The 26,995-nt window shown below is 40.8% G+C and overlaps 1 protein-coding gene across 1 annotated transcript in view, besides 2 other annotated features; it reads right to left on the bottom strand.

Moving 5' to 3' along the window:
• The window catches only part of MBTPS2 (membrane bound transcription factor peptidase, site 2), a 45,807-nt gene extending 41,506 nt beyond the window's left edge, over positions 1 to 4,301 (bottom strand). Inside the window, exons 1-2 of the mRNA NM_015884.4 lie at positions 4,109 to 4,301; positions 600 to 748 (exon numbers count right to left, since the gene is read on the bottom strand). Of these exons, the coding sequence (NP_056968.1) occupies positions 600 to 748; positions 4,109 to 4,183 (224 nt within the window). The 5' untranslated portion in view covers positions 4,184 to 4,301. The remainder of the gene's footprint in view (positions 1 to 599; positions 749 to 4,108) is intronic.
• Positions 3,998 to 4,147: an enhancer, noted in NCBI's record as "active region_29486". NCBI's record gives its function as "activates an Ori minimal core promoter by ATAC-STARR-seq in GM12878 lymphoblastoid cells {active_cell/tissue: GM12878}" and the evidence as "EXISTENCE:reporter gene assay evidence [ECO:0000049][PMID:35858748]".
• Positions 4,168 to 4,337: an enhancer, noted in NCBI's record as "active region_29485". NCBI's record gives its function as "activates an Ori minimal core promoter by ATAC-STARR-seq in GM12878 lymphoblastoid cells {active_cell/tissue: GM12878}" and the evidence as "EXISTENCE:reporter gene assay evidence [ECO:0000049][PMID:35858748]".

The following is a 26,995-nucleotide window of genomic DNA, read 5'->3' as shown; positions in this document are numbered from 1 at the left end:
GTCTCGAACTCCTGGCCTCAAGCAATCCACCTGCCTCAGCCTCCCAAAGTGCTGGGATTACAGGTGTGAACCACTGCGCCCGGCCCAATTAATATTTTCAAAGAACCAACTTTTGGCTTTGCTGATTTTCTCTATTGTATATTTTCTATTTCACTGATTTCTGTTCTTATCTTTATTATATCCTTCTTTCCACTTTGTATGCTTTGATCTGCTATTGCATTTTCTGCTAACTCTGATGATCTGATTGTTTACATTTAGCTCTAATCCATTTGGGGCTAAATTTTTAACAAAAAGAAATCTAGACCATGCCACCCCTGACCCTCACATTCTCTCATCTACAGAACCTGCCTGTATCTTGGGTGTCCCAGAGATCATTGTAAAGCCCCTAACTATAAATTGCCATAAATGCCTTGATTTTTAATGTATGCAAGCCACAATGATACAATCCCATAAGGTTATATAAAACCAGAAAGTTTTAATATTGTCAATATTTTAAAACTCAGAAAACTGCAAAGTAATGGAAATAGTTAATTTAACAAGCTGTCTGTCGTGATCACTTAATGATTAACCTAAACCAAACAAAAGAAGATGAAGAATACCATTGGTAAAGCATCCTTGCTTTCCGCCGTCCCCAACTGTAAAAGGCACGATTGAAAACAGCAGTTTGCCATCTTATGTGGAAAGGGGAGATGCTCAGTCCGTTGTTTTCCAGCCAGTCTTCATAAGAATGTTTAAAATAGACAGATGACTAAGAGAGAAAGAAAAGTTCTACATCACTCAATTTTGAAGAACAATTTATAATGTGTAAGAAAATAACACAAAGTATTTTCTAGAGGAAATTAAGATGCTGACTTCCCAAATGTTTATAATCTTAAAGCTTTATGTTTATTCTTCAGAATATTAAAGGTCACAGACCTAACCGGTCTACTGAGATTAGGGTCTGGTAAACTATGGGCCACAGGCCAAATCCGAACTACAGACTGTTTTCACACAACTTGTGAGCTAAGAATAGTTTTCACATTTTTAAGGGATTATAAAAAGACAATAAAAACCAAAAATATGCGACAGAGACCCTCTGTGGCCCAAAAAGCCTAAAATACTTACTACCAAGCACTTTACAAAAAGTTCGCTGACCCCTGCTTAGAACAGTGTTGTCCAATAGAAATATAATGTGAGCCACAAATGTAAGCCACATATATAACTTTAAATTTTCTAACAGCCAAATTTTAAATATTAATTTTCGTATACTTATGCCCCAAAATATCCAAGATATTTCAACATGTAATCAACATACACTATTGGTGAGATACTTTACTTTTGGGGGGGGCATTACTTCGTTGAATTTCAACATCAACTTTATACTTACAGCACATCTCAGTTTGGACTAGCTCTGACTAAAGGCTCAATAACCACATGTGGCTAATAGCTGCCATATTGGACAGCACTGGTCCAGAAGCCTTGTGTTATAATTTAAAAAAAAAAAAACCCTACCAATCCAAGAGAAGGGACAGTTGCGATCAGTGTTTGCTTTCTTCTTCTGAGCAACAACTCTAAGAAGTTAGGCCAACCTCGATCATGTAAAAAGTAAAAAACTTATCTAAAGCCATCTTGGGCTCAATAATGTCCCTTAAATTCTCTGGGGTTGTGGGGATAGGGGCTTATACACAGCCCCAACAAGAGTTTTACCTTTAGGGAAGTTTGAAGTCCTTGACTAATATAGGATTTTGGATGACATAAGGCTGTGTTATATACCTGACACAGTAAGTACAGTAAGTATTGTCATATTCATGCCCACCCATGTGAGAAACTTATCTGTCCAAGAAGGAAATCTTAGCCCTATCATAGTCTTAAAAAATGACCATAGTCTGAATATAGGTAGCTGTTTGCTTTGGATCTGTAGTATTATCTGCTCTCAGTCTTCAGGTAGTTAAATTTTAAGTGTACTTGTTTTCCAAGACTTGGAAAAGGAGTGACACAACTTCTCTAACAGATGTCTATGCAGAAATCCTAGAAAAGCCCAGGGTGGATCAGCAGACCAAGCTGGAGGCAGAGAAACTAAAGGTGCAGGCTCCTAAAAGTTGAGGTCTCTCCATTTCCCAGGCAGATACTCTGAGTAGGCGTTAGGTCTTTTGCTCAGAGGTTGGTGCATTCTTAAGGAGCTAGGGGTTGTTACTGAAACCAGTGACATCTTGGTCACCTCACACACTTGTGACTAGGGACTGTAAAAGTTCTTTTTATTTTAGATTTTTTTCACATATGCAACATGAAGAAATCATGTGGCTTTGTGTGTGTGTCTTACTATGTTGCTCAGGCTGGCCTGGAACTCCTGGCCTCAAGCGATCCTCCCGCCTCTTCCTCCCAAGTAGCTGGGACTACAGGCTGCACCACCATGCCTGGCTCATGTGGCTTTTTCAAACAACAAAATCATTGTGGCCTGTATTGCTTATGACACGTTAACCACTATGCCAAGTACTTTAAATCAGTGCTTTTTCTTTTGAGACAGGGTCTTGCTCTGTCACCCAGGCCAAAGTGCAGTGGCACGATCTTGTTTCATTGTTAACCTCTGACTCTCAGACTCAAGAGATCCTCCTACCTCAGCCTCCAGAGTAGCTGGGACTACAGGCATGCACCACCATGGTTGGCTAACTTTTAAATTTTTTGTAGAGATAAAGTCTCACTATATTGCCCAGGCTGGTCTCAAACTCCTGGACTCAGGCAATCCTCCCACCTCAGCCTCCCCCAAAGTGCTGGGATTACAGGTGTGAGCCACTGTGACCGGCCACATCAGTGCTTTTCAAACACAAACAGGTGCAGAGGAGTCACCTGGGATCTTGCTAAGATGCAGATTCGGATTCCCTAGGTCAGGGGTGAGGCCTGGGATTCTGCATTTCTAACAAGCTCCGAAATGATGCAAGTGCTACTGGTCCTTGAACCTCAAGTTGAGGAGCGAGACTTTATGTGGATACACTAATGTAATTCTCTCTGTAATCTTAGGAGATCCTTACTATTATCTCTATTTAAAGATGAGAAACCAAGGCACAGATAGCAATTTTCCCAAGGTCACATTGGCTAGAAGCCCAGCCCTGGATCTAAGGACTACGCTATGTAACCTCCTGCACTTTACAAGTTTAAATGATAGAAGGAAAAGTCTCATTTCATTTTATTGTTAAAGCTAAAACATGCAATACTATGGTTTTCTATTTTAAATGGTATTCATAACATGAAGATTTTGCTATCCATAACTGGAATTTTTATTAAACACTTGAGAATTTATATGATCTTATTCCACATATATAGTTACTCTTCCCCATCCCCTACCCCCCAGTACTCAATTCCAAAAGCTTGCCTGAAGCATGTGGTCAGACGACTCTTCCTGATTTTTTGCTACCCTTCTCAAATAACTGGAAAATGGACCGTGCACCCAGGGTATCTGGTTAGTGTGAAGAAGTGGGGTGCAGCGTGTAAATCAGAATTCAAGTAGTTAGAAACTGGTTATGTAAATCCTTGCTATTTGAGTGTGCTACTTTGAAGTACACTCTGTGATCTGGCAGCATCAGTAGCACTTGGGAACTGGTTAGAAATGCAGAATTTTAGGCCTTGCCGCAGACCTGCTGAATCGGAATCTGCATTTTGACCGCAAACCAGATGATCATATGCATTTAAAAATTTGAGACTACTGATTTCAATCACGACTTGATTTAGATTCATTCCAATATCTGAGTCTCTAGAGCGTTTTGAACTTAAAAACAATAAGGGAAAGCACTGTCTTTACTAAGCAGACGTTTTCTTTTCCTCCCTGCTGCACTGCAGCTGCTGGGTCTGGCAGGGCCCCGGCCCTCCCGATCCCACCACTGGCGCCTCCCGGGCAGGACCCGAAGGCTGAAGGGCCTGCACTGCCCCGCACTGCGACAGTGGCAGCCGCGCAGGCCGCCACAACCCTCCCGCGGCCGGCAATGTTTTATTTACTCCACCGGGCCGATCCACCACGCGGACTGTCGCACGTGGGCACCGTCCAGCCCGGGAGGCGCCAGGCAGGGGAAGAGAAAAGAAGGCCTTGCGCTCCGGCCATGGGCACCGCGGGCTTGGACCTTAGGCCCAAGGCCCTCACCTTCAGCACCAAGTCGGTCAGGTAGACGACAGTCCAGCCACCCACCACCACCACCACCAGCGACACCGGAATCATGGCGGCAGCGGCGGCAGAGGAGGGAAGGCGAGCCCCGGCGTCCTCCTCCCTGCACCGCCAACAGCTGACCGCGCGCGCCTTACAGCCCCAGCATCCGCTCAGGAACCAAGCTACCGCCGGCTCCTTCCTTGCGGTGGCACGGTTTCCCACCGGACTCTTCCAGTGGGGACATACAGGAGGATTTGCTAGTACCGGAAATGGCACGGGGGCTTATTTTTGCGGGCGCTCGGGCGCTGCCGTCCAGGCAGTAGTTCGAACTCGGCATCTAGTCTTGTAGCGATTTCTTAGGCTTTGGCCCTCCCTGCTGTCTACTCTCCATTCTCGCCAGTTCTGGTCAGGGGTTTGCTGTTTCTTTTAACCCATGAGGATTTGGGGTCGTCTGAAGTAATAATCTCTCCCTCCCCGACCCTGTCATAGATATCCAGATTTAATTGTTTATCCTTTTTACTGAAGTGTAAATTTACATGTAATGAAATCATACATACAGAGCTCAATTGTCCATTTCTGTGAGTTTTGATAAATATATATATATATATATATACGTGTACCCTAATCAAAATGGAGAAAATTTCCCTCTCAGGAATTTCCTTCTTGCGTCCCTTCCTAGTCAGTAGCCCCTCCCCCTGTTCTGATTATTTTTAACTTTATGTAAATAGAAAGCAATAAGTACTCTTTGTGTCTGGCTTGTATCGTTCAACATGCTTTTTGAAATTTATCCATGTTGATTAAATTAGGCTCTTTTTTCAACCTTTTATAATATTTGAGATGGTGCTATGGTTAAAAATCAGAACTCTGAACACCTACACATTTTAACGTTAATGTATACCTGATTATATATTGAACTAGAGCAGCAGTTCTCAACCTTACCTGCACTTTAGGATCACCAAGGTCTTTTAAAATTCCCGATGCCCGTTCTGTATCCTCGACCAATTAAATCAGATGCTCAGTGGGACCCAAGCATTTATACTTTTTAAGCTCCTCAAGTCATTGCACTGTGCAGCCAAGGTTGAGAACCACTGAACTAGATAATCTCTAAGAGAAAAGAAAACTATTTATTGGGGTTTTTTTACGTTCTATTTATGTGCATCTTTAAAAGTTATTTGTTTCAACTTTTCTGGAAAAGCATCATTAGCTATAATAATGCTAATACCAAAATATTGAGAACATAATACTATCTCAAGAACAAGTATCCCAAATAAAAATGTATCCTCAACCCCCTTCCAAGTGAAAATATACAATAATACCAGAAACCTATATTACAAATATTGCTACTAATTTGCCTCATTCTCCCTGCTTTTCCTAAAGTTTTACTCACTTAGGGACATGTTTCTCCAGCTTCAAGACAGCTTATGACTGTTTTACATATCTTTGCCTATTTGTGTGTGTATGTGTTGTTATAAATTATTTCCGTTTTCTTTGGACATAGCTGGGTGTAAATTATAAAAGTTTGTATTCAAGCACCCTGTTACTCCACAGTTTTCCATATACAAGTATCCCAAAAGACTTAGTGCTGTTTTAAGCTTTAATAATTTCTGAAGTATTAATGCTACCAACTTGCAAAAAGTCACTTGAAGGTTTATTTAAATTTCTTATATGTTTATTTTATTTTGTGAATTTTGAACATTTTTAAATTTTTTAGTCCCTTTAACGGAAGATGGCAAACATTGACTGAAACAAAAAATTAAAACACATTTTCTGTTCAAAAATTCACAAACCAAATAGGCAGTTAAATAATTTTATAGTTAATACAGTTAAATAATTTTACTTTCAAATAATGTATGAGTTCATATAATTTATACTCCTGAAGTTATTAAAAGCTTAACACTATACTGAGACTTCTTTTTCTCTTTTTTGAGACGTAGTCTCACTCCTGTCGCCCAGGCTGGAGTGCAGTCGGATGATCTTGGCTCACTGCAACCTCCTTCTCCCGGACTCAAGCAATTCTCCTGCCTCAGCCTCCTGAGTAGCTGGGATTATGGGCACATACCACCAATCCCAGCTAATTTTTGTATTTTTAGTAGAGACAAGGTGTCACCATGTTGGCCAGGCTGGTCTCGACCTCTTGACCTCAGGTGATCTGCCGGCTTCTGCCTCCCAAAGTACTGGGATTACAGGTGTGAGCCACCACGCCTGGCCATATACTGAGGCTATGGATACACTATTGTGTTTGTTCTGACCTTTGTCTGTTCTTATATAATGACTCTATAGTTTTTAACAATATTCTTCTCTGGGAGCAGAATATTAACTTAAGAACCGAAATGTCTTCTCTTTTGTTAGCCCGCAGCCTTGTCTGGACCACTTACTGGGACAAGTACCAGCTACCATGTGGCTATCTGATAGCCCAAAGTACACAGGAAATGCGTTGGTTGTGCTTTTCTGTTTCCAGCCTAAAAATTTAGTTATTCAACTGACTTGGTGTTTTCATCAGGGACTCAGCAGTCAAAACAAAGCACTGAATTGAATCCTGCTGGCTGCTGAAATTTAGCAGTAGTGGAAGCCAGCTGGTGGCAGCAGAAGAGACAAGATAGAGGATGCAAGGTGGCAGCAAAAAATGCCTGAATTCTAGAAGATCAAGGTATTCTTCCTTAGAATAAATTTGTGACTTAATTTACAAATTGTTTCAGGTTTCTGTGAAGTATGTATTTTAAGTAAAGGACACATAACCAAGATTTAATTTATATCATTTGTATGTATATTATTTTTAGAGGGGCACGGAATATACATATATTGGCTGAATGCAAAGCAGCTGCATGTTAAAAGTCACTATTTGGCTGAAGCAGAATATCACCATCATATAATAAACTTCAGCGATAAAAAATACATGAAATATAAAAATTAAAAATTAAATGTTTATATTAGTTTTATTGAAAATATTAGTATTCAGTTAGTCATTACACAATGTATGCATATTTCAAAATAGCATGTTGTACATGATAAATATATACAATTTTTATTTTTCAATTATAAAGTATTGCTATTTAAATTTTTAAAGTTTGACATGGCATTCAGAAATATGTATTTCTCATCAGTGTGAGCTGATAGTTTGCTTCTGGGATCATTATAGTCTACATTTATGGCATTAATTTGCAACAGTCAGTATAACCTAGCTTATGCTTTGGAAACCAACCCTAAAATCCAAGTGGCTTAAAACAACAAAGATTTATTTTTTGTGTGTGCTAGTTGGCAGGACATGCAGGTAGAAGGGTAGCAGGCTGATGGAGACTCCACCATTTTATCATGTCCACATCACAAGATGATGCTTAGGGTTCGCCAAGGCAGGGAAAGAAGTGGACTAGGGAGTCTACCACTGGCAGTGAAATGCTATAGCTCAGATATTCACATATTACTTCTATTCATGTTTCATTATCAAAACTAGTCAAGTAGCTGTGCCTAACTAAAAAGGGCAGGGAAAGTGTAATCCCCTGTATACCTGGAAGTAGAGAAGAACATGCCTGGAAGTAAACAGTTGTGAACCCAAAAGTATCTGAGACAGGTCTCAATTAACTTAGAAAGTTTGTTTTGTCAAGGTTAAGGATGCACCTGTGACACAGCCTCAGGAGGTCCTTACGACGCGTGCCTAAGGTGGTTGGGCACAGCTTGGTTTTATATATTTTAGGGAGACATGAAATAGCAATCAGTATGTGTAAGATGTACATTGGTTTGGTCCGGAAAGGCGGGACAACTCGAAGTGGTGGCTTCTAGGTCATAGGTAGATAAGAGACTAAAGGCTGCATTCTCTGGGGTCTTTGATCAGTCTTTTGCTGAATACACGATTTACACGTTGCAGGGGGTAGAGAAATAGTCACATGCCTTAGTCCGATTCAGTGACTGCATTTTTACATAAACAAAGGAAACAATCCAGCCAGGTGGGGTGGCTCATGGCTGTAATCCTAGCACTTTGGGAGGCCGAGGCAGGTGGATCACCTGAGATCAGGAGTTCGAGACCAGGCTGGCCAACATGGCAAAACACCATCTCTACTAAAAATACAAAAATTAGCCAGGCATGGTGGCAGGTGCCTATAATCCCAGCTACTCGGGAGGCTGAGGCAGGAGAATCGCTTGAACCTGGCATGGGGGTGGGATGGGAGGCAGAGGTTGCAGTGAGCCGAGATCACACCACTTCACTCCAGCCTGGGCAAAAGAGCAAAACTCCATCTTAAAACAAAACACAAAAAACAAAAACAAAGGAAGCAATCAGATAAACATTTGTCTTAGGTTAGTCGCAGGATGACTTTGAGTTCTGTCTTTTTTGTCCTGCACCTGTGAAGATAAGCTATCAATTTACATTACCAAGGTAAAATTCAATAGAACTGTTTTAGGGAAATTCCTTGTGGGCCAGTTATGAGGGAGGTATGTAGCTTTTTAAAAAAACATCTATGTAGCTATCTTATTTAGGACCAAAATGGGAGGCAGGTTTGCCTGATGCATTTCCCAGCTTGACTTTTCCCTTTGGCTTAGTGATTTTGGGGTCCCAAGATTTATTTTCTTTTCACACAGTGTTTTTTTTTAATTTATTTTTTATCTTTTATTTTTTTATTTTTTTTGAGACAGTGTCTTGCTTTGTTGCCCAGGCTGGAGTGCAGTGGCACTATCACAACTCACTTCAGCCTCAACCTTCTGGGGAAGTGATCCTCCCAGCTCAGCTTCCGAAGTAACTGGGACCACAGGTGCATGCCACCATGTCTGGCTAATTTTTTAAAAATGTTTTTGTAGAGATGAGGGCCTCGCTTTGTTGCCCAGGCTGGTCTCAAACTCCTCAACTCAAGCAATCCTCCCACCTTGGCCTCCCAAAGTACTGGGATTTACAGGTGTGAGCCACTGTGCCTGACCTTAATGCCAGTGTTATGTACCACATAAATAGATGTTCGCTTTCACCTTAAGAGCAGGATTTTTGGGTTTTTCCTGCTTGTGAAATTTTAAGGTGGCAAAGCTAAAATTCTGCTTTAAATTTACCCTTGCAAGATGTGAAGAATTTCCTAGTAATACTTTTTCTTGTAAGACTTATGGCCTAAGTGGAATTAAGAAACACAAAATTAAATATAGTTGTTTATTTTAGGGTTTGTTGCTGCAGCATAACATAGCAAAAGCTGAGCAATGCTGGTTGTTAATAATTGGTTCTCTATGTCAATAGTATTAAAAATCATAATTATTGCAGCATTTTACTCTTCAGTACTGAGTATACTGAACCAATGAATAACATTTTTTGATTCAAGTGATAGATATAAACGTAGAAAGCTCATACAGAAAAATTTCACTCCAAGTTATTCTTAGCATGTTTATGTATATTCAAAAGTAAATATTAAAGTATTTTCAATTCATCCAAGTGGCATACCTTATTCATATTACAGACATTGTTTCACTAATTAAATATGATAGTACCTACTCAATCATATGATAACTGGTTGTGCAACTTTTCAGGGATGCCAGAAATGATGTCAAAGTAGGCATCTGGCTAATTGGATTTCTAAAGGCAAGGCTGAGGGGGAAACTAAACCCCAGATCCCAAGGCCAGGTCTTTTAGACCATGCTGAGCTAAATAATAGAGATGCACCAAAGTTTAGAGTTAAATAATAGAGATGCACTAAACTTTGGTGCATCTCTATTATTTAACTCAGCATGGTCTAAAATTGGTCAATACCCTTAGCATTCTCTTGAATAATATCAGGACCTTTGGAAGCTTTAATGATCATTACCCCACTCCTGACTTTCGTGTCATTTTTTTCTGGTATTTTGGTTCTCTGTTGATGTTATTTAAGCACATAAAAAGATATTTTTGTTGTTTGTTAGAGGCAGTATTTCTTTAGATAACTGGATGCTTCTTTTTTTTTTTTTTTTTTTCCTCACCATTGCCTGGTAACATTTCAGGCCTTTCTTTTGGGACAATTTGTCTTTTTCCGGAAGTATATCTTTAAGAAATTTCTTTGGAGAGTCTCAGTTTGTGGAAAACACTTGAGTTTTATCTGAAAAATATCTTGATTTCCCGCTTATTTTGAGATGATAGTTTCATAGAGTATGTACTTCTAGGCTGACAGTTGTTTTTCCTCAGCACTTTGAGAATGGTACTTATTTTTTGGCTTCCACTGTTACTGTTAAGTCCATCATCAATCCACCAGTCACTTCTTTTAGGCAATCTGTCCTCTTTCTGATGATCTAAATTTGACTTCGATGTGTCTAGGTGTGGATTTCTTTTTATTCTTTCTGATTGGAATTGTTGGTATTTGAGTCACAGTCCAGGCAGGAAAAAGAAACCATGCTAGGTATTTTAAAACATTTTTTTGTATTTTGTATACAATTTTTATGTGGAGGATTTTGTAAGGGAATTAGCTACACATATGTCAAAAGGTTGAAAGAGGAACAAAGGTGAGGTAGCCCAGAGATTAGAAAATACAGAAAGTAGCTATCACATCTCTAGGGCTCAAGGAATCAAAGAGAGTAAGTTACATTACCAGAATCTAGAAGGGAAGAGGAGGGACCACCATCTCCTCAATGGTTGGGCTACTGGGGCTGAATGGTTGGAGGAAGTGCTATTGCTGAGAGTTTAGAACCAGAAGGAAAAGACCAAAAAAGAGAGGGGAAGAACTACTGCTATTCCCCTTTCCTACCTTATGATTACTGACCAGTGCCTATTATTGGTGAAACCTTGGGGGAAGCCAGCCACTAACAGAGCCTGGAAAAGTGCTTTGAAGACATCCCATCCTAGCATTATTTTGCAGGAAATAGAAGGATGGATGTGGAGTTGAAAGCTAGGTAAATAACCAGTACAGTTTAGTTTCTGAATTTTAGGATTTGTTGTCTGCATCACGTATGGTAAATTCTCTGCCATTTTCTTTTTCTTTCTCAGAGACAGGGTCTCACATTGTCACCCAGGCGGGAGTGGTGCAATCATAGCTCATTGTAGCCTCAAACTCCTGGGTTCAAGCAATCCTCCTGCCTTGGCCTCCTGAATAGCTAGAAGTACAGGCACATGCCACCATGCCTGGCTAATTTTTAAAAAATTGATTAATTTTTTTTTTTTTTTTTAGAGACAGGGTCTTGCTATGTTGCCCGGGCTGGTCTCAAGTGATCCTCCTGCCTTGGCCTCCCAAAGTACTGGGATTACAGATGTGAGCCACCTTGCCCAGCTGTCATTCTCTTTGAATATTCTCTTGCTTGTTCTTTAATTTCATTTTGAAAGTCCAATTATATATAAAACCTTCTCTATTTTCTGTGCCTTTTGCCCTCTCTTTGGAATTTCCACGTCTTTCCCTTGCTGCATTCTGAGTAATTTCTTGAAATCTATCTTTCAGTTTCTTAATTCTCACTTCAACTGTGTCTGATCCGCTGTTTTAACCAGGCTATTGATTTCTTTTTTTTTTTTTTTGTTTGAGACAGAGTCTCACTCTGTCACCCAGGCTGGAGTGCAGTGGCGCAATCTTGGTTCACTGCAACCTCTGCCTCCCTGGTTCAAGCAATTCTCCTGTCTCAGCCTCCCGAGTAGTTGGGACTACAGGCTTGTGCCACCACGCCCGGCTAAATTTTTGTATTTTTAGTAGAGATGGTGTTTCGCCATGTTGGCCAGGCTGGTCTCAAATTCCTGACCTCAAGTGATCTGCCTGCCTCGGCCTCCCAAAGTGCTGGGATTACAGGCATGAGCCACCACGCCCAGCCACCAGGCTATTGATTTCTAATTTCAACTATTTTATTTTTTATTTCTAGAAATTATATTTGGTTTCATTTTACTTGATCTTAGCCAAAAAGTTGAGAAGCAATATTGTTTTCATTTCAGAAATGATTTGCTATTTTTAAAAACCCTTTTGTTCCTCAGTCGTATTTTCAATTCTACATATTAAACATCTTATTATATATTGTGTATCTGATAATTCCAGTGTCTATAGTATCTGCAGGTATGGTCCTTTGTTTCTGCTAACTGTCACTCATAGTGACTTATGTTTTTTTCTTTTCCATTGTGAACTTATGTTTATTGGACCTTCATGTGGTTGTGCAAGCACTTGGTGCCTGGGCTTAAAGTAAGTTCTTGCAGAGATGATGATTGTTTGCTTTTGCCAAATACTTAGGGGCCTCACTAACCTGAGGTCACTTAAAGTAAATCATTCATGCGGGCTTTCTTTTTAGGTCATAGTTTTAGGTTCAGGATCAGAAGCATGGTGTCCAGTTGTGATAGGCTGCTTCTGAAATGGCTCCTCATGATCCTTGCTTCTTGTTATTCATGCCTTATGTAATCCACGCTCTGTATGAGTGGGCTGGACCAAGTGATATGCTTCTAACAAATAGAATATGGCAAAAGTGATAGGCTATTACTTCTGTGATTTGGTTATAAAAGACTGTGAGTTCTGTCTTGCTTGCTTGCTCTCTCTCTCTCTCTCTGGCTTTCCTCGCTTGCTCTGATGAAGCGAGCTACTATGTCGTGAGCTGTTCTCTAGAGAGGCCCATGTGGCAAGGACCTGAAGGCAGCCTCTGGCCAACAGCCAGTGACGAACTGAGGCCCCCAGACCAATAGCCTGTGATAAACTGAGTCCTGCTCACAACCACATGAATGAACTCAGAGGCAGGTCCTTCCCCAGTTGAGCCTTGAGATGACTGCCACTGCAGCCAACACCTTGACTTCCACCTTGTGAGAGGCCCTGAGCCAGAAGACCCAGCTACGTTGTATGGATTCCTGACCCACAGAAATGGTGAGATCATAAATGTTATTTCAAGCCACTAAGTTTTGGGAGTAATTTGTTATTCAACAGTGGATAATTAATACACCAATTGACAGTGGCAATAATCCCACTCTATTCTGTATAAGTTTAGCCATATCCGCATCACTGTTTCCAGTTATGGCCATTATTCCTTAAGAGGAATACTGAGACAAACCAGAAGGTACCCAAAAGAAGTCTGTGGAGGTGGGGAGGGGTGGTAAAAGATCTGGGAAATATGTCATATGAAGAACAGGTGAATGAATTGGGTTTGTTCTGGTTCACCCTCTGAGGGTCCAGTTTCTAAGTCTCTGAGCTTTATCTTCTGTCCCCAAAGATGGCCTGTTACAGCAGCAGCTCTGGAACACCTATGATCAGCAGATGACGTCAGGGAAGCCACCAGCTTTAGAGCTCTCTTACCTCTCTGGATTTGTGTTTTTTTAATCTTGCTTTTTTTTTTTTTTTTTTACCTCTAAGGATTTCCCTTACTTTCTACTATAGCAACTACGCATTTGTGAAATATTTTAAATATGTTATTCTATATTTTGGGTATTTTTGTACTAGGAGGGTTTTTTCAGGGTGGCTAATAGGCTATATTGCTGGGAATGGAAGTCCCTATGAACTTGTTTTTTAAAAATTGTGGTAAAATTTACATAACATAAAAATTTGCATTTTAACCATTTTTAGGTGTACAATTCAGTGGCATGTATATATATTCACAACATTGTATAACAGTTACCATTATATATTTCCATAACTTTTTCATCTTCCCAAATGGAAATTTTTTACCCATTAAACAATAACTCCCCATTTTGCTCCCTTCTACCTGATAACTTCCTATGGACCTGTTTTAAAGGGAAAAGTCATTGCAGATCTTTGAGAATATATTTGCAGAACCCCAGATATTCTCAGGCCCTAAATGGAGAAAAAATGGTCAAAGACCATGCATTTTTATTTTTCGAGACAAGGTCTCTGGCATCTAGGTTAGAGTGCAATGGCATGGTTATAGCTCACTGCAGCCTTGACCTCCGAGGCTCAAGTGATCCTCCTGCCTCAGCCTCCCAAGTAGCTGGGACCACAGGTGCACACCGTGACAGGTGGCTAATTTTTAAACTTTTTGTAGAGATGGGGTCTCACTGTGTTGCACGGGCTGGTCTAAAACTCCTAGCCTCAAGTAATCCTCCCACCCTAGCCTCCAGAGTGCTGGGATTACAGACATGAGCCACTGTGCCTGGCCCAAAGATTATACATTTAACATTGTAGAATTATACCTGGAAAGTGCTGTTGATTACTGATGTGCTCTGGGCCCCAAAACCAGTGCCTTTTAAAGTTGAAAAGTGCTGCCAATATTCATATTTAAGAAATTGCAATATGTTTCTTCTACCATTCTCCAGATGCCATGCTGCTTCCTAATTCTACCTTTACAATTTTCAGCAAAAAACAAATTCATAAAAAAAACCCATCCTGCAGGAAATACCTGGTATAGGCTGGTAGATATTGCTAAGAAGAGTAAGACAAAAGCTTACTACTACATTTTAGGTGAGGGGTCGGTCAATTGTTTTTACTGGTACATAGTCACTAAAAAGAAATAACTACTCAGTGGTATCTTTTCTCTAGGAAAGTTCAATTAACTTTATAACTGAGGATATGTGAGAGAGCAAGATACATTACTGGCTGAGCATTCTTTCATTCTCTCCCCATAACTATCTAGTAAAGAGAATTTTGTCTTTGCTATTCTATTCTGTATCTTTTATGATGCAGAATTGGGAAAATGAGATGGACTTAGAAAGAGATGGACCTGAAAGGGGGTGGGTAAGAGGAAAAGATTCAGTAAAAAGCCAAGTCAAGCCTAGGATTAAAATTAAAAGAAAGGAGAGATGAGAGAAAAACTACTTGCTGGATGCCACAGTGAGTTTTGGGGTTGGTCAGTGAGGGGTACTCTAGCAGAATTGGGGAGGGGAAAAAAGCTGGCTTTAGGATGGGTGTTGTCAGTTATGATTTGGATGGCTTTTGATGTTCTTTGTTGTTTTCACTTTTTTCTTTTCATTTGAGATGTTGCTCATGTACAGTCAGGTGCACAATCTTAAGGGCTGAGCTTAATGAATTTTTATGTGTCTACACCTGTGTCACCACCACCCATCTCAAAATACAGAATATACCAGCACCTCACATGTCTTCTTCCTCATCCCCTTCCCAGTCAACCATCTGCCCCACAACCAAGAAATAATCACTTTTCTGGTTTCTAGCACCATAGATTAGTTTTTGTCTGTTTTTTAACCTCATAAAAATGGAATAATATGCTAGGCACGGTGGCTCATGCCTGTAATCCCAGCACTTTGGGAGGCCGAGGCAGGCAGATTACTTGAGGTCAGGAGTTCAAGACCAGCCTGGCCGACATGGTGAAACCCCATCTCTACTAAAAATACAAAAATTAGCCGGGCATGGTGGCGTGCACCTGTAGCCCCAGCTACTTGGGAGGCTGAGGCAGGAGAATCACTTGAACCCAGTAGGCGGAGTTTGTAGTGAGCTGAGATCGCACTACTGTACTCCAGCCTGGGCAACAGAGTGAGACTCCATCTAAAAAAAAAGAAAAAAGAAAAAAGGAATGATACAGTATGCACTCTTTTGTGTCTAATTTCTTAATTTTTTTTTTTTTTTTCTGAGACGGGGTCTCATTCTGTTGCCCAGGCTGGAGTGCAGTGGTGTGAACATGGCTCACTGCAGCCTCAACCTCCTAGGAACAAGTGATCCTCCAACCTCAGCCTCCTGAGTAGCTGGGACCACATGCATGTGCTACCACACCCAGCTAATTATTTTATTTTTTGTAGAGGTGGAGTCTCACCATGTTTCCCCGGGCTCGTCTTGAACTGGGCTCAAGCAATCCTCCCGCCTCAGCCTCCCAAAGTGCTGGGATTACAGGCATGAGCTGCTGCACCTGGCTTTAGTTTGATTTCTTTCACTCAGCATTACATCTATAAGATTGATCGATACTGTTTTACATAGCAAAATAAGTTTTTAAAACCACTGTGTAGTATTTCATAAATTATTCATCTGTTCTATAGTTGATGGATATTTGTTTGTTGTAGCATTTGGTTATTATGAATACAAGTGCTATGAACATTCTTGTCTATATGTGCTGGTGGATGGATATAAAGCACTCATTTATGTTTATTGTCTGTTCAGGTGTGGAATTACTGGGTCATAGAGTGGACATATCTGTATCTTTAGTATTTCCTGTCAGGTGGTTTTCTAAAGTGGACATATCAGTGTACACTCCCACCAGCAATGTGAGAGAGTTCCAGTTGTGCTTATCCTTACCTGGACTTGACATTTTCAGTCCCTTAATTTTAGTCACTGTTAATGTTTTTGCAGGGGCATAAGCAGAGATTAGAAATCCTTTTAAATTATTTTAGCTGTTAAATCCTGCTTTCACATAAAGGATTCTATACATAAAGTGGGTGCATGAAGCTTTGGAACTTATTTAGGAAATCTTGAGGATTTGGAAGTGTGCACATTTAGTTCAGCTGAGCTGGGATTTTTTTTGCACCCCACCTCCTTTTTTTTTTTTTTTTTTTTTTTTTTGAGATGGAGTTTCACTCTTGTTGCCCAGGCTAGAGTGCAATGGCACGATCTCGGCTCACTGCAACTTCCGCCTCCGGGGTTCAAGCAATTCTCCTGCCTCAGCCTCCCAAGTAGCTGGGATTACAGGCACGTGCCACCACGCCTAGCTAATTTTTGTATTTTTTGCGGAGACGGGGTTTTACCATGTTGGCCAGGCTGGTCTTGAACTCCTGACCTCAAGTGATCTGCTCGCCTTGGCCTCCCAAAGTGCTGGGATTATAGGCGTGAGCCACCATGCCCAGCCCCCACCTCCTTTTCTTAGAGGCAGGGCCTTGCTCTGTCACCCATCTGTCACCCAGGGTGAAGTGCAGTGGCATGATCATGGCTCACTGCAGCCTCAAACTCCTGGGCTCGAAGGATCCTCTCACCTCAGTCTCCTGAGTAGTGAAGACTACAGGCATATGCCACCATCATGCCTGACTAATTTTCAATTTTCAATTTTTTTACAGAGATGGGGTCTCACTATGTTGCCCAGGCTGGTCTTGAACTCCTGGCCTCAAGCGATCCTCCTGCTTCAGCTTCCTGAGTAGCTGGGATTACAAGTGTGTGACACAATGCCTGGCTCTCTCTGTGTTTTTGAAGGTGAAACTTTATTCTGTAAAGATACAAGACTGGCTCCTAAAAGAAAGATGATTCTTCAGAGACTGTCTAAAGTTGGAAAAGCTACCAGAAGACTAAGTGAATGCCTCTTATTGTTGGCTAGTTGTTAAATAACTGTGCATCAAAATCACCTGGAAGGTTTGTTAAGCCATGGCTTGCCAGCCCCACTCTCAGAATTTCTGATTCAGTGGGTCTGGAGTTGAGCTAAAGAATCTGCATTTCTAAAAACTTCCTGGGTAATGCCACTCCTGCTGGTCCCAGGACAGCACTGTGAAAGCCACTGAACTCACCTATTGCAATAGTCTCAGTGAGAGGCAATATTGAAGGAGGTGAGAAGTAGTTGGATTTGGGAGCTCTTTGGAGGGGTAGAGCCAATAAAACTTGTTTTTAAACATTGTGATCCTAGAATGTTCCTTAGGTAGGTTTATTTATTTCCTTCTTTCCTTCCTTCCTTCCTTCCTTCTTTCTTTCTTCTTTTTTTTTTTTTTTTCTGAGACAGGGTCTTGCTCTGTCATCCAGGCTGGAGTGCAGTGGTGTGATTTCAGCTCACTGCAGCCTCTGCCTCCTGGGCTCAAGTGATCCTCCCACCTCAGCCTTCCAAGTAGTTGGAACTACAGAAGTGAGCCACCACGCCTGGCTAGTTTTAAAAATTTTTTGTAGAGACGGAGTTTCGCCATGTTGCCCAGGCTGGCCTCAAATTCTTGGGCTCAAGCAATTCACCAGCCTCAGCCTCTCAAAGTGCTGAGATTACAAGCATGAACTACTGCACCTGGCCTCTGATGTAGATTTCTTACTTTGTGTGTGTGTGCGTGTGCGTGTGTGTGTGTTTAATTTTTAAAATGTAACTGGCAGTATAGTTTTGTTGTTAGACATAAAGGCTCTAGAGTTGGATGGCCTGGGTTCAAATTGCAACTCTACTGCATATTGGTTGTATAATCTTGCAAGTTACTTCATTTCTCATTTGTAAAAATGTGGATAATATTAGCAGGTGTTTCTTGTAAGGAATAAATGAGATACCTCCTGTAAAACACTTCTCATGATGCATGGAATATGGATTTTTAATTGGTTCAATTTGGAGCAAGAACATACCCCCTTGATATGGTAATGAGGATTGTCAAAACAAAATAACAGAAAAGAAAATTTTACATTTATTTTCTAATATTATCTGATAAGTAAAAGAATTTGCAGAAAGCTAATTTTATTTTATTTTTTATTTTTGAGGCAGAGTCTCACTCTGTTGTCCAGGCTGGAGTGCAGTGGCATGATCTTGGCTCACTGCAGCGTCCACCTCCCGTTCAAGTGATTCTCCTGCCTCAGCCTCCCAAGTAGCTGGGATTACAGGCATGTGCCACCAAGCCTGGCTAATTTTTGTATTTTTTTTTTTTTTTAGTAGAGACGGGGTTTCGCCATGTTTGCCAGGCTGGTCTTGAACTCCTGACCTCAGTTGATCCACCTGCCTTGGCCTCCCAAAGTGCTGCGATTACAGGCATGTGCCACCAAGCCTGGCTAATTTTTGTATTTTTTTTTTTTTTTTAGTAGAGACGGGGTTTCGCCATGTTTGCCAGGCTGGTCTTGAACTCCTGACCTCAGTTGATCCACCTGCCTTGGCCTCCCAAAGTGCTGTGATTACAGGCATGTGCCACCAAGCCTGGCTAATTTTTGTATTTTTTTTTTTTTTTAGTAGAGACGGGGTTTCGCCATGTTTGCCAGGCTGGTCTTGAACTCCTGACCTCAGTTGATCCACCTGCCTTGGCCTCCCAAAGTGCTGGGATTATAGGCGCTAGCCACTGTGTCCGGCCAAAGCTAATTTAAAAAATTTAATTTTTATTACTTTTATATAAAGCATAAATTGTGTCAACAGTTATTCTGATAGATCACTTGAAAAATGTAGCTTGCACCTTGTCTTACTCTTTTTGTGTTGCTATAACAGAATATCACAGACTGGGTAATTTACAAAGAACAGAAATTTACTTTCTTACAGTTCTAGAAGCTGGAAATCAAGATCAAGATGCCAGCATCTGGTGAGGATCTTCTTGTTATGTCCTCACATGATGGAAGATGGAAGGGCAAGAGAGCAAGAGGGGACCAAATTCACCCTTTTAAAATGGCATTAATCCCACCCATGAGGGTGGAGCCCTTTTGGCCTAATCACCTCCCCAAATTCCCACCTCTCAACACCGCCACAATGGCAACCAAATTTCGACATGAGTTTTGGAGGGGAAAAAACATTCAAACCATAGCATACCTTCTGTGTAAATTCTGTACAATATTTACAATGGGCATTTTATTCATTTGGATTTAATGGGTGATATATTTTGGCTATTTTTCCTCTCCAAATCTGATGTTGAAATTTGATTTTCAATGTTGGAAATGGGGCCTGGTGGGAGGTGTTTGGATCATAGGGGTGGATCCTTCATGAATGGCTTGGTGTTGTCTTATCAATAATGAGTAAGTTCTCACTTTATTAGTTCATGCAAGAGCTGATTGTTTAAAAGAGTGTGGGTACCCCTCCTGTCTCTCTGTTGCTTTCTCTCTTGCCATGTGACACATCTGCTCCCCCTTCACCTTCCACCATGAGTGGAAGCTTCCTGAGGTTTTTACTAGAAGCAGATGTCAATGCCATACTTCTTGTACAGCGTGCAACATTGTGAGCCCAATAAATCTCTTTTCCTTATAAATTACTCAGCCTCAGGCATTCCTTTATAGCAACACAAAATGGATAAGACAATGGGTTTTAGTAAGAATTGCAAACGAGACAGCGGCTGTATTTGGTACTTAAAATTTTTCATCTACTTGTTTAGTTATCAGTGACACAATTAAAAATTGCTGAATTATTATTCATTCAGCTAAAAAACTGCCAAAGTTCAAATGCTGTGATACTGGCTTACAGCATATTGACAGGCCAAAGCAAATGATAATAAAAGTTTTAAAATGTTTTCAGAGCTCAGCAAAATTTTGGCCAAAGAAATTTTCCATGCAGGAAACATGATGTAAACATCTATTTTTTTCTTACCCTTTCAGAAAATGAAATTGTCCACTATATAATAATACATAATTTCAACAAAATCTTCTGCATACAATTAGCTATAAAAGGAACTAACTACCAAAAGGCAATCACTTGTAGCAAAAGCATTTTATCTTTGTAGATGCCAAGAAAGGTTTCATTCTTTTGAAAAATAGTCTAAGATTATTTTCCAGCAAAATATGAACAGTCTCCTCGAATGATATAATGATCCAAGCTTATTATTTTCTCTCGCATTGAGTCTTAAGCACAGATGCACATTAGAATTACTAGATGCAAGCCTGGAATTCTAAGGCTGAAGTGTGGTCATATTTATGTTTACATACTTCCTAGACTTCAATAGGTCTTCTACTTTGGGCCACATGGCAGACTGAATAATCTGAAAACCCTTCTGCTACAGAACGCCGAGAAGTACTGGATAAAATAAGGGAAATATCCTTTTAAATGCATAGTTCGAATTGTAAGGGAAATTGTTTAGGGACAAAATGAGAGCTGGAGTTACAATTCCACATTAATAAGCAGGTGCTGATACCTTGTTTCCCTTGGCAGTGGAAGAGACTGCAGCAGGTCTTTGAATATCATTGTTTCATCCTTTTACTATAATAACATTGATGAGAGAAAAAAATGGATTCTGGGCTGGGTCACCATCTATGTGGAGTCTGCATGTCCTCTCCATGTCTGTATGGGGTTTCTCTGGGTGCTTCCCACATCCCAAAGCTGTGCACGTCAAGTTTATTGGTGTGTCTAAATGGTACCTGTCTGAGTGAGTGTGATGTGTGTGAGTGGCCCTGTGATGGAATGGCGTCCTGGCCAGGACTGGCTCCCACCTGGTGCACTAAGCTGCTGGGACACGCTCCAGCCACCTATGACCCTGAACTGGAATCATTGGGTAAATGATTATCTTATTTATTTTTATTAATCTTTCTTAAATGTATGTATAGCTCACACATATTCCAGTGTTTCATATTAGAAGTGCTTTGGTCTTTATTTAGAAGTTTGATGATGTTTTTGTGACCAGAAATATGCTGTAGGAACTTAACTGTATATCAATTAGCCTATGGTAAAATTGATTTCATTATACTACATTGTTTTTGCTTAGAGACATGGTTTTCAAGAACCTAAGGACCATGTTAAGTGAGGACTTACTGTACCCTGATTTTTGTAAACAAGGAGCTTGGGTTTTAATAGCTTTGAGGGTCAGGAGACAAGGTTGTAGAAAGACAAGATGGGGAATTGGAACTAAGAATCTGGTTTAGAGTTGGGAGTCTGGAAGGGCTACAGCTGAGTAGAAAGAAAAGTCATCGATCAGCTGAGGTAGAAAATGAAGAAATTTGTCTGCCTTTGCCTGAGCTTTGAATGAAAAAAACATATCCCTATGAGAATTAATAATAACTGCCTTTTCTCATGTGGGTCATAATCTGAATTTATATTACCTGTGTGGTCTGGCAGTCCTGAGATATTAGTATAAAAAATGGTTGAGATACTCCTGGTTGAGATATTAATATAAAAAATGGTCCGAGGCTGGGACATTTTTAGAGCTCCTGGCAAAAGCAAATGCAGGACTTCTCTTGAGGGATACACTCAAGCCAGATGAAACTAAGGTTGCGTGGGGACATGCGAGTGATGTTAAGCAGAGCCCAGAGGCTCTTGGGTGACAGGTGAATGAAAACAGGTTAGACTGCCTGGCCTCAGGCAATCACGCCTGCCCATACAAACCCACCAAGCTGATGGAATGCCACCTATGAGGACCTCCTTCTCCAAGTGCTACTGTCTCTGAGGGTTCAAAGGTATGTTCCTGATTTGGGTATTTGTTTGATGGGATGAGAACAAACAGGACTGATTAACCCTGGTTTCTGTGGTGCTCAGACCTAGGACTCCTTTTTACTCTCCTTGAACTTTGGAGTTGACCCAGATTCAGGGGCTGGCCTGGCCTTCAGCCATTACCTGTAGATATTATGAGGCAAAGAAGCCGGTACCTCCATGGGAATGTGAGTTCATAGGCCCAAATAACCAGGCATCTGAAGAGGACAGATGCCTCAAAAGAAAAAGAAGAAACTGGAAACCATGTACCAACTGTGGTAGAAATACTAACAAATAAACCAGGAATTTTAAATAAATATGAGAGAACTTCTTCTTCTGGTTAGGATGTAAAAAAATGCAGGAGGCTATTATTCTCACCCCACCAGGTGATTCTGAAGCAACCCCTGCCCCCTTGAAAACTGCTACTCCGTTGCAATAACCTGGATAGCAATAAATGCATATGGATAAATGTACACAGGCTAAGTTTGACAAGAATGGTGGTCTACGGTGATATTATTTACATGCTTGTGCTTACATTTTATTTAGTGTGTATAATTTTATCTTGAAACTGCTTAGACAATTAAGGATTAGTTGGGGGAGATATAAAGGTGAATACAACACTGACACAATGATTTATTACCTTGTGGTTCATTGGAAGACCATGGTTGTTCAAATAGTTGTGAAATTTTCCTTAATCCTTTGTCTTAGAGGTATAACTCCAAAATAAAATTGGTGTGCCAGCAGTGTAATGATATAATCAACTTTATAAGAAGAGCCAGCCAAATTTTAATTTAGCACTACTTTACTTGCTGATTTGTTTACAAATTGCATTGCCTATCCAGCCCTTCTGTATTGAAACATTCCACATGCAAAGACCCCACGGCCTTGATGCAGGCAATTGCCTACAGAGGCCTCTTGGAAACCCTAGTGTCAGTCAGAAACAAAGATTGGCCAGCAGCAAAGCCCTAGAAAAAAGCAGAGTGAGCTAAGTAGTGGGTAGTGCCTTTCTACACACTGTGCTGGGGAGAGGGTCCCCTTGAATCTTGATAAATATCCAAAATATCTTGACTCTTCAAACCCCGCAATTGTCAGGCTAATAAACCTGACTCCATTTTAACATTCAAGTCCTCTTTCTTTGCTCTAACTCCATAAATCTCAAACTATCTTGGGATGGTTATCCCCTATAGCATGTCTAAAGGAAAAAAAATGTACTGGTTAAACAGATAAGCATAAAATGTCTGCATGATAGTTATATTTTGCAATAAAAAATTAATCATGAAGCATATTGGGGTGTTTTAGTCCCTTGTGGGTTAGTGTGAATCAGGCTCTCTGAGATAAAGCTCATAGATTTTGGCAACTGAGAGCCAGACTTAGAGCAGGATAAATGTATTAAGGTAAACTCTATTAGGGTAGTAGCATCCTGCTAGCCCTGCTTGGCTGTGTGCCTTCCTTCCCACATCTACAGTGCATATGGGAAATGTTCTGTATTAGTTCATTCTCACATTGCTATAAAGAAATAGCTGAGACCAGGTAATTTATAAAGAAAAGATGTTGACTTGGAACCAACCCAAATACCCATCAGTGATAGACAGGATAAAGAAAATGTAGCACATATACACCATGGAATACTATGCAGCCATAAAAAAGGAATGAGTTCTTTTCCTTTGCAGGGACATGGATGAAGCTGGAAACCATCATTCTCAGCAAACTAACAGAGGAACAGAAAACCAAACACTGCATGTTCTCACTCATAAGTGAGAGTTGAACAATGAGAACACATGGACACAAGGAGGGGAACATCACACACCAGGGCCTGTTGCGGGGTGGGGAGCAAGGGGAGGGAGCATTAGGACAAATACCTAATGTATGCAGGGCTTAAAACCTAGATGATGGGTTGATAGCTGTAGCAAACCACCATGGCACATGTATACCTCTGTAACAAACCTGCATGTTCTGCACATGTATTCCAGAACTTAAAGTAAAATAAATAAATAAATAAATAAAATAATAAAAATAAATAAAATATGTTTAATTGGCTCATGGCTCTGCAGGCTATACAGGAAGCATAATGGCTTCTGCTTCTAGGAAGGCCTCAAGAAGCTTCCAATCATGGTGGAAGGCAAAGTGGGAGCCAGTTCCTTACATGGCAGGAGCAGGAGCAGGACCAAGAGAGAGTGACAGGGGAGGTTCCACATACTTTTAAACGACCAGATCTCATGAGAAGTCACTATTGTGAGGACAGTACCAAGGAGGGTGGTGCTAAACCATTCATGAGAAGCCCACCCCTGTGACCCAGTCACCTCCCATCAGGCCCCACTTCCAATATTGGGGATCACAATTGAACCTGAGATTTGTGTGGGGACACAGATCCAAGCCATATCATAGTCTAATCCTCACTGATGTAGAATTTAAAACCCAAAGAAGCACAATGAGGAAGCTTTTGCTTGTAGTGTGGTTTCCAAACCTAGCGCTCTATCAAAACTGCCCTTAAAAGTCAGTAGCAGCCAGGTGTGGTGGCATGCGCATTTAGTCCCAGCTAGTCCAGATGCTGAGTCAGGAAGATTGCTTGAGCCCAGGAGTTCAAGGCCAGCCTGGGCAATATAGTGAGACTCTGTCTTAAAAAAAAAAACAAAAAGCCAGTAACAACCTCCTAGTGACCCAATGCAGTGTCTTCTCAGTCTCCATCCTACTCTGTCTTTGGTATGTGAAACTGTGGATCATCTCAGTTCAATAGGGGTCCTATCTGAGGCGGTCCAGACCAGAAAGACAGAAGGGTGAAGCTGAGCCGAAAATCAGGAAACTAAGCACAAAACCCAAATATTTATCAGACAACTACTGGGTGTTACACATTTTCTCTTAGGCACCTGGGATATATCTGAATAAAACAAAGACCCCTGCCAACATGAGTGAATATAAATGTCTCCAGGAACATTAATACAGTAAAGGATCGTGTTCTCCTTTACATTCCTCTAGGCTTTATCCTCACTTTTATTATGGTATATTACAATACTTACAACATATTATTGTAATTATTTATTTACATGTCTGTCTCTGTTTTCTGAACTGTGGGCTTTTGGATGGCAGGGGTGCCATATCTTAGTATTCTAACACATGGCAGGCATTCAATAAATGTCAGTAGAATGAATACATGAATGAATAAATGAAGCTGGACTGCTAAAGGAGTTGTTGAGCTCTAATGGCTTCGAGAGACTGTGCTTATCTTGGTCTTAGAGGAAAATAGATTTTATATTAAAAAGAAAAAATCCACAAAAATGAACACCGCACTAAAGGAATACTAAACAGGAATCAGTGCTTCTTTCCATCCCCTACCACTGACACCCTAGGCAAGGCCATCATTATCTCTCTCTGGATTAACAAAGCCTTCTCCCAATTGGTCGCTGCAACTCCTCCAACAGGTCTTCTCTTCCTCCGTCTCTATAATGGAGCCAGGGAGCATTTTAAAATACAACTATGGCCGTGTCACCCTCTCTTGAAAATTTTGCCATGGTTTTATACTTTAGTCAGTTTCTGTTATATAACATCCCCAAATCTCAGTGGTTTACATAAATACTCATTTCCGTGTTTTCAGGCATGAAGGTTGGTGGCCGTTTGGCTCACTAAGGCTAGGTTCAGTTAGACTGGACTTCAGGCAGAAGGGGCAGCAGTTAATCTAAAGCATATGCTGGGTATAGAAGATTGCAGGGGTATGAAAAGGCAAGCCAAATGGTGCAAGCTCATTCATAGCTTCTGCCAGCCTTCTCTGAATGTTAACATTCCATTGGCCAAAGTGAGTCTGTATTAGGCCATTATTGCATTGCTATAGAGAAATACCTGAGACTGGGTAATTTATAAAGAAAAGAAGTTTAATTGGCTCACACTTCTGCAGGCTGGAAAGGAAGCATAGCACCAGCATCTGCTTCTGGGGAGGCCTCAGGAAGCTTACAATCATGGTGGAAGTTGAATGGGGAGCCGGCACATTATATGGCAAAAGCAGGAGGAAGAGAAGGGAGGGAGGTGCCACACTTTTAAACAACCAAATCTCATGAGAACTCACTATCTCCAGAACAGCACCAGGACATGAGGGATCCTCCCCCATGATCCAAACACCTCCTATCAGGCCCCACCTCTAACACTGGGGATTACAGTTCAACATGAGATATGGGCGGGGACAAATATCCAAACAATATCAGAGTCACATTGTTAACCCAAAGTCAAGGGGCAGAGAAATACACAGACCACCATGAAGCCATGGCAAGGGCAAAGAATGGCAGCTCTGTAACATAAAGGGAGTGAAGAATTGGGCAAAATAATCCAATCGACTCCACTTTTCCTTGATCTTAGAGCCAAGTCCAAAACCCTTCACAATCTTTTTTTTTTCTTGTTTTTCCATTTTCTTTTGCAACTTCTTCCCTTCACTATATTCTCTTAACTCTGTTCTTGTCATCTTTCAGTTCCCATGATGGAGCATGCCGTTTCTCACTTTCAAGGCTTTATACATGCTATTGCTTTGTCCTGACCCATTCTTTTCTCATCTTTCCCACCCCTCTGTTCCCACTCCCACTCACCCTGGGGTGTCTACCTCTCCTGGTCAGCAGTATGAATATTATCTCTAGTAGGAATGAATTAGTTGTTCCTTGTCTGCATTGCCAAAGCTCTAGCACTTGATTTTATAATATCAGAGCCTTTATCACAAGCATTGTTTTTTCTTATTTCATTGACTGTTTCTCCTGCTAGATTAAGACTATCCTGAGGTTGGGACTGTGACTCTATTTTACCCTCCTGTTCCCAGCACCTAATATAGTGTCTGGCATATAAGAAGTACTCGTTTTGTTTTTATTTAATGAATGTATACACGAGTGAGAACAAACAACCGAGAATACAGTTTGGTTTCAGGATCTGCTTAAAGGAATTTATTTTGAGAAGTCTAATGTATTGACATATCCTTGAGACTTATGGGAATGAAATATGTGCACAGCCTTTGCATTTTTCAAAGTCCTTTCTGCTCTCTGCTGTTTATTACACAAAATCTCCCCTTTGTTAGAATTTTGTCATGCACACACTACATTGCAGGACAGCCTACAGGTGACCCTA

This window comes from Homo sapiens, chromosome X, assembly GCF_000001405.40.
Source record: "Homo sapiens chromosome X, GRCh38.p14 Primary Assembly".
NCBI classification, from domain to species: domain Eukaryota; kingdom Metazoa; phylum Chordata; class Mammalia; order Primates; family Hominidae; genus Homo; species Homo sapiens.
The sequence above is the reverse complement of the archived record's forward strand: the minus strand, read 5'-3'. Positions and strand labels throughout refer to the sequence as shown.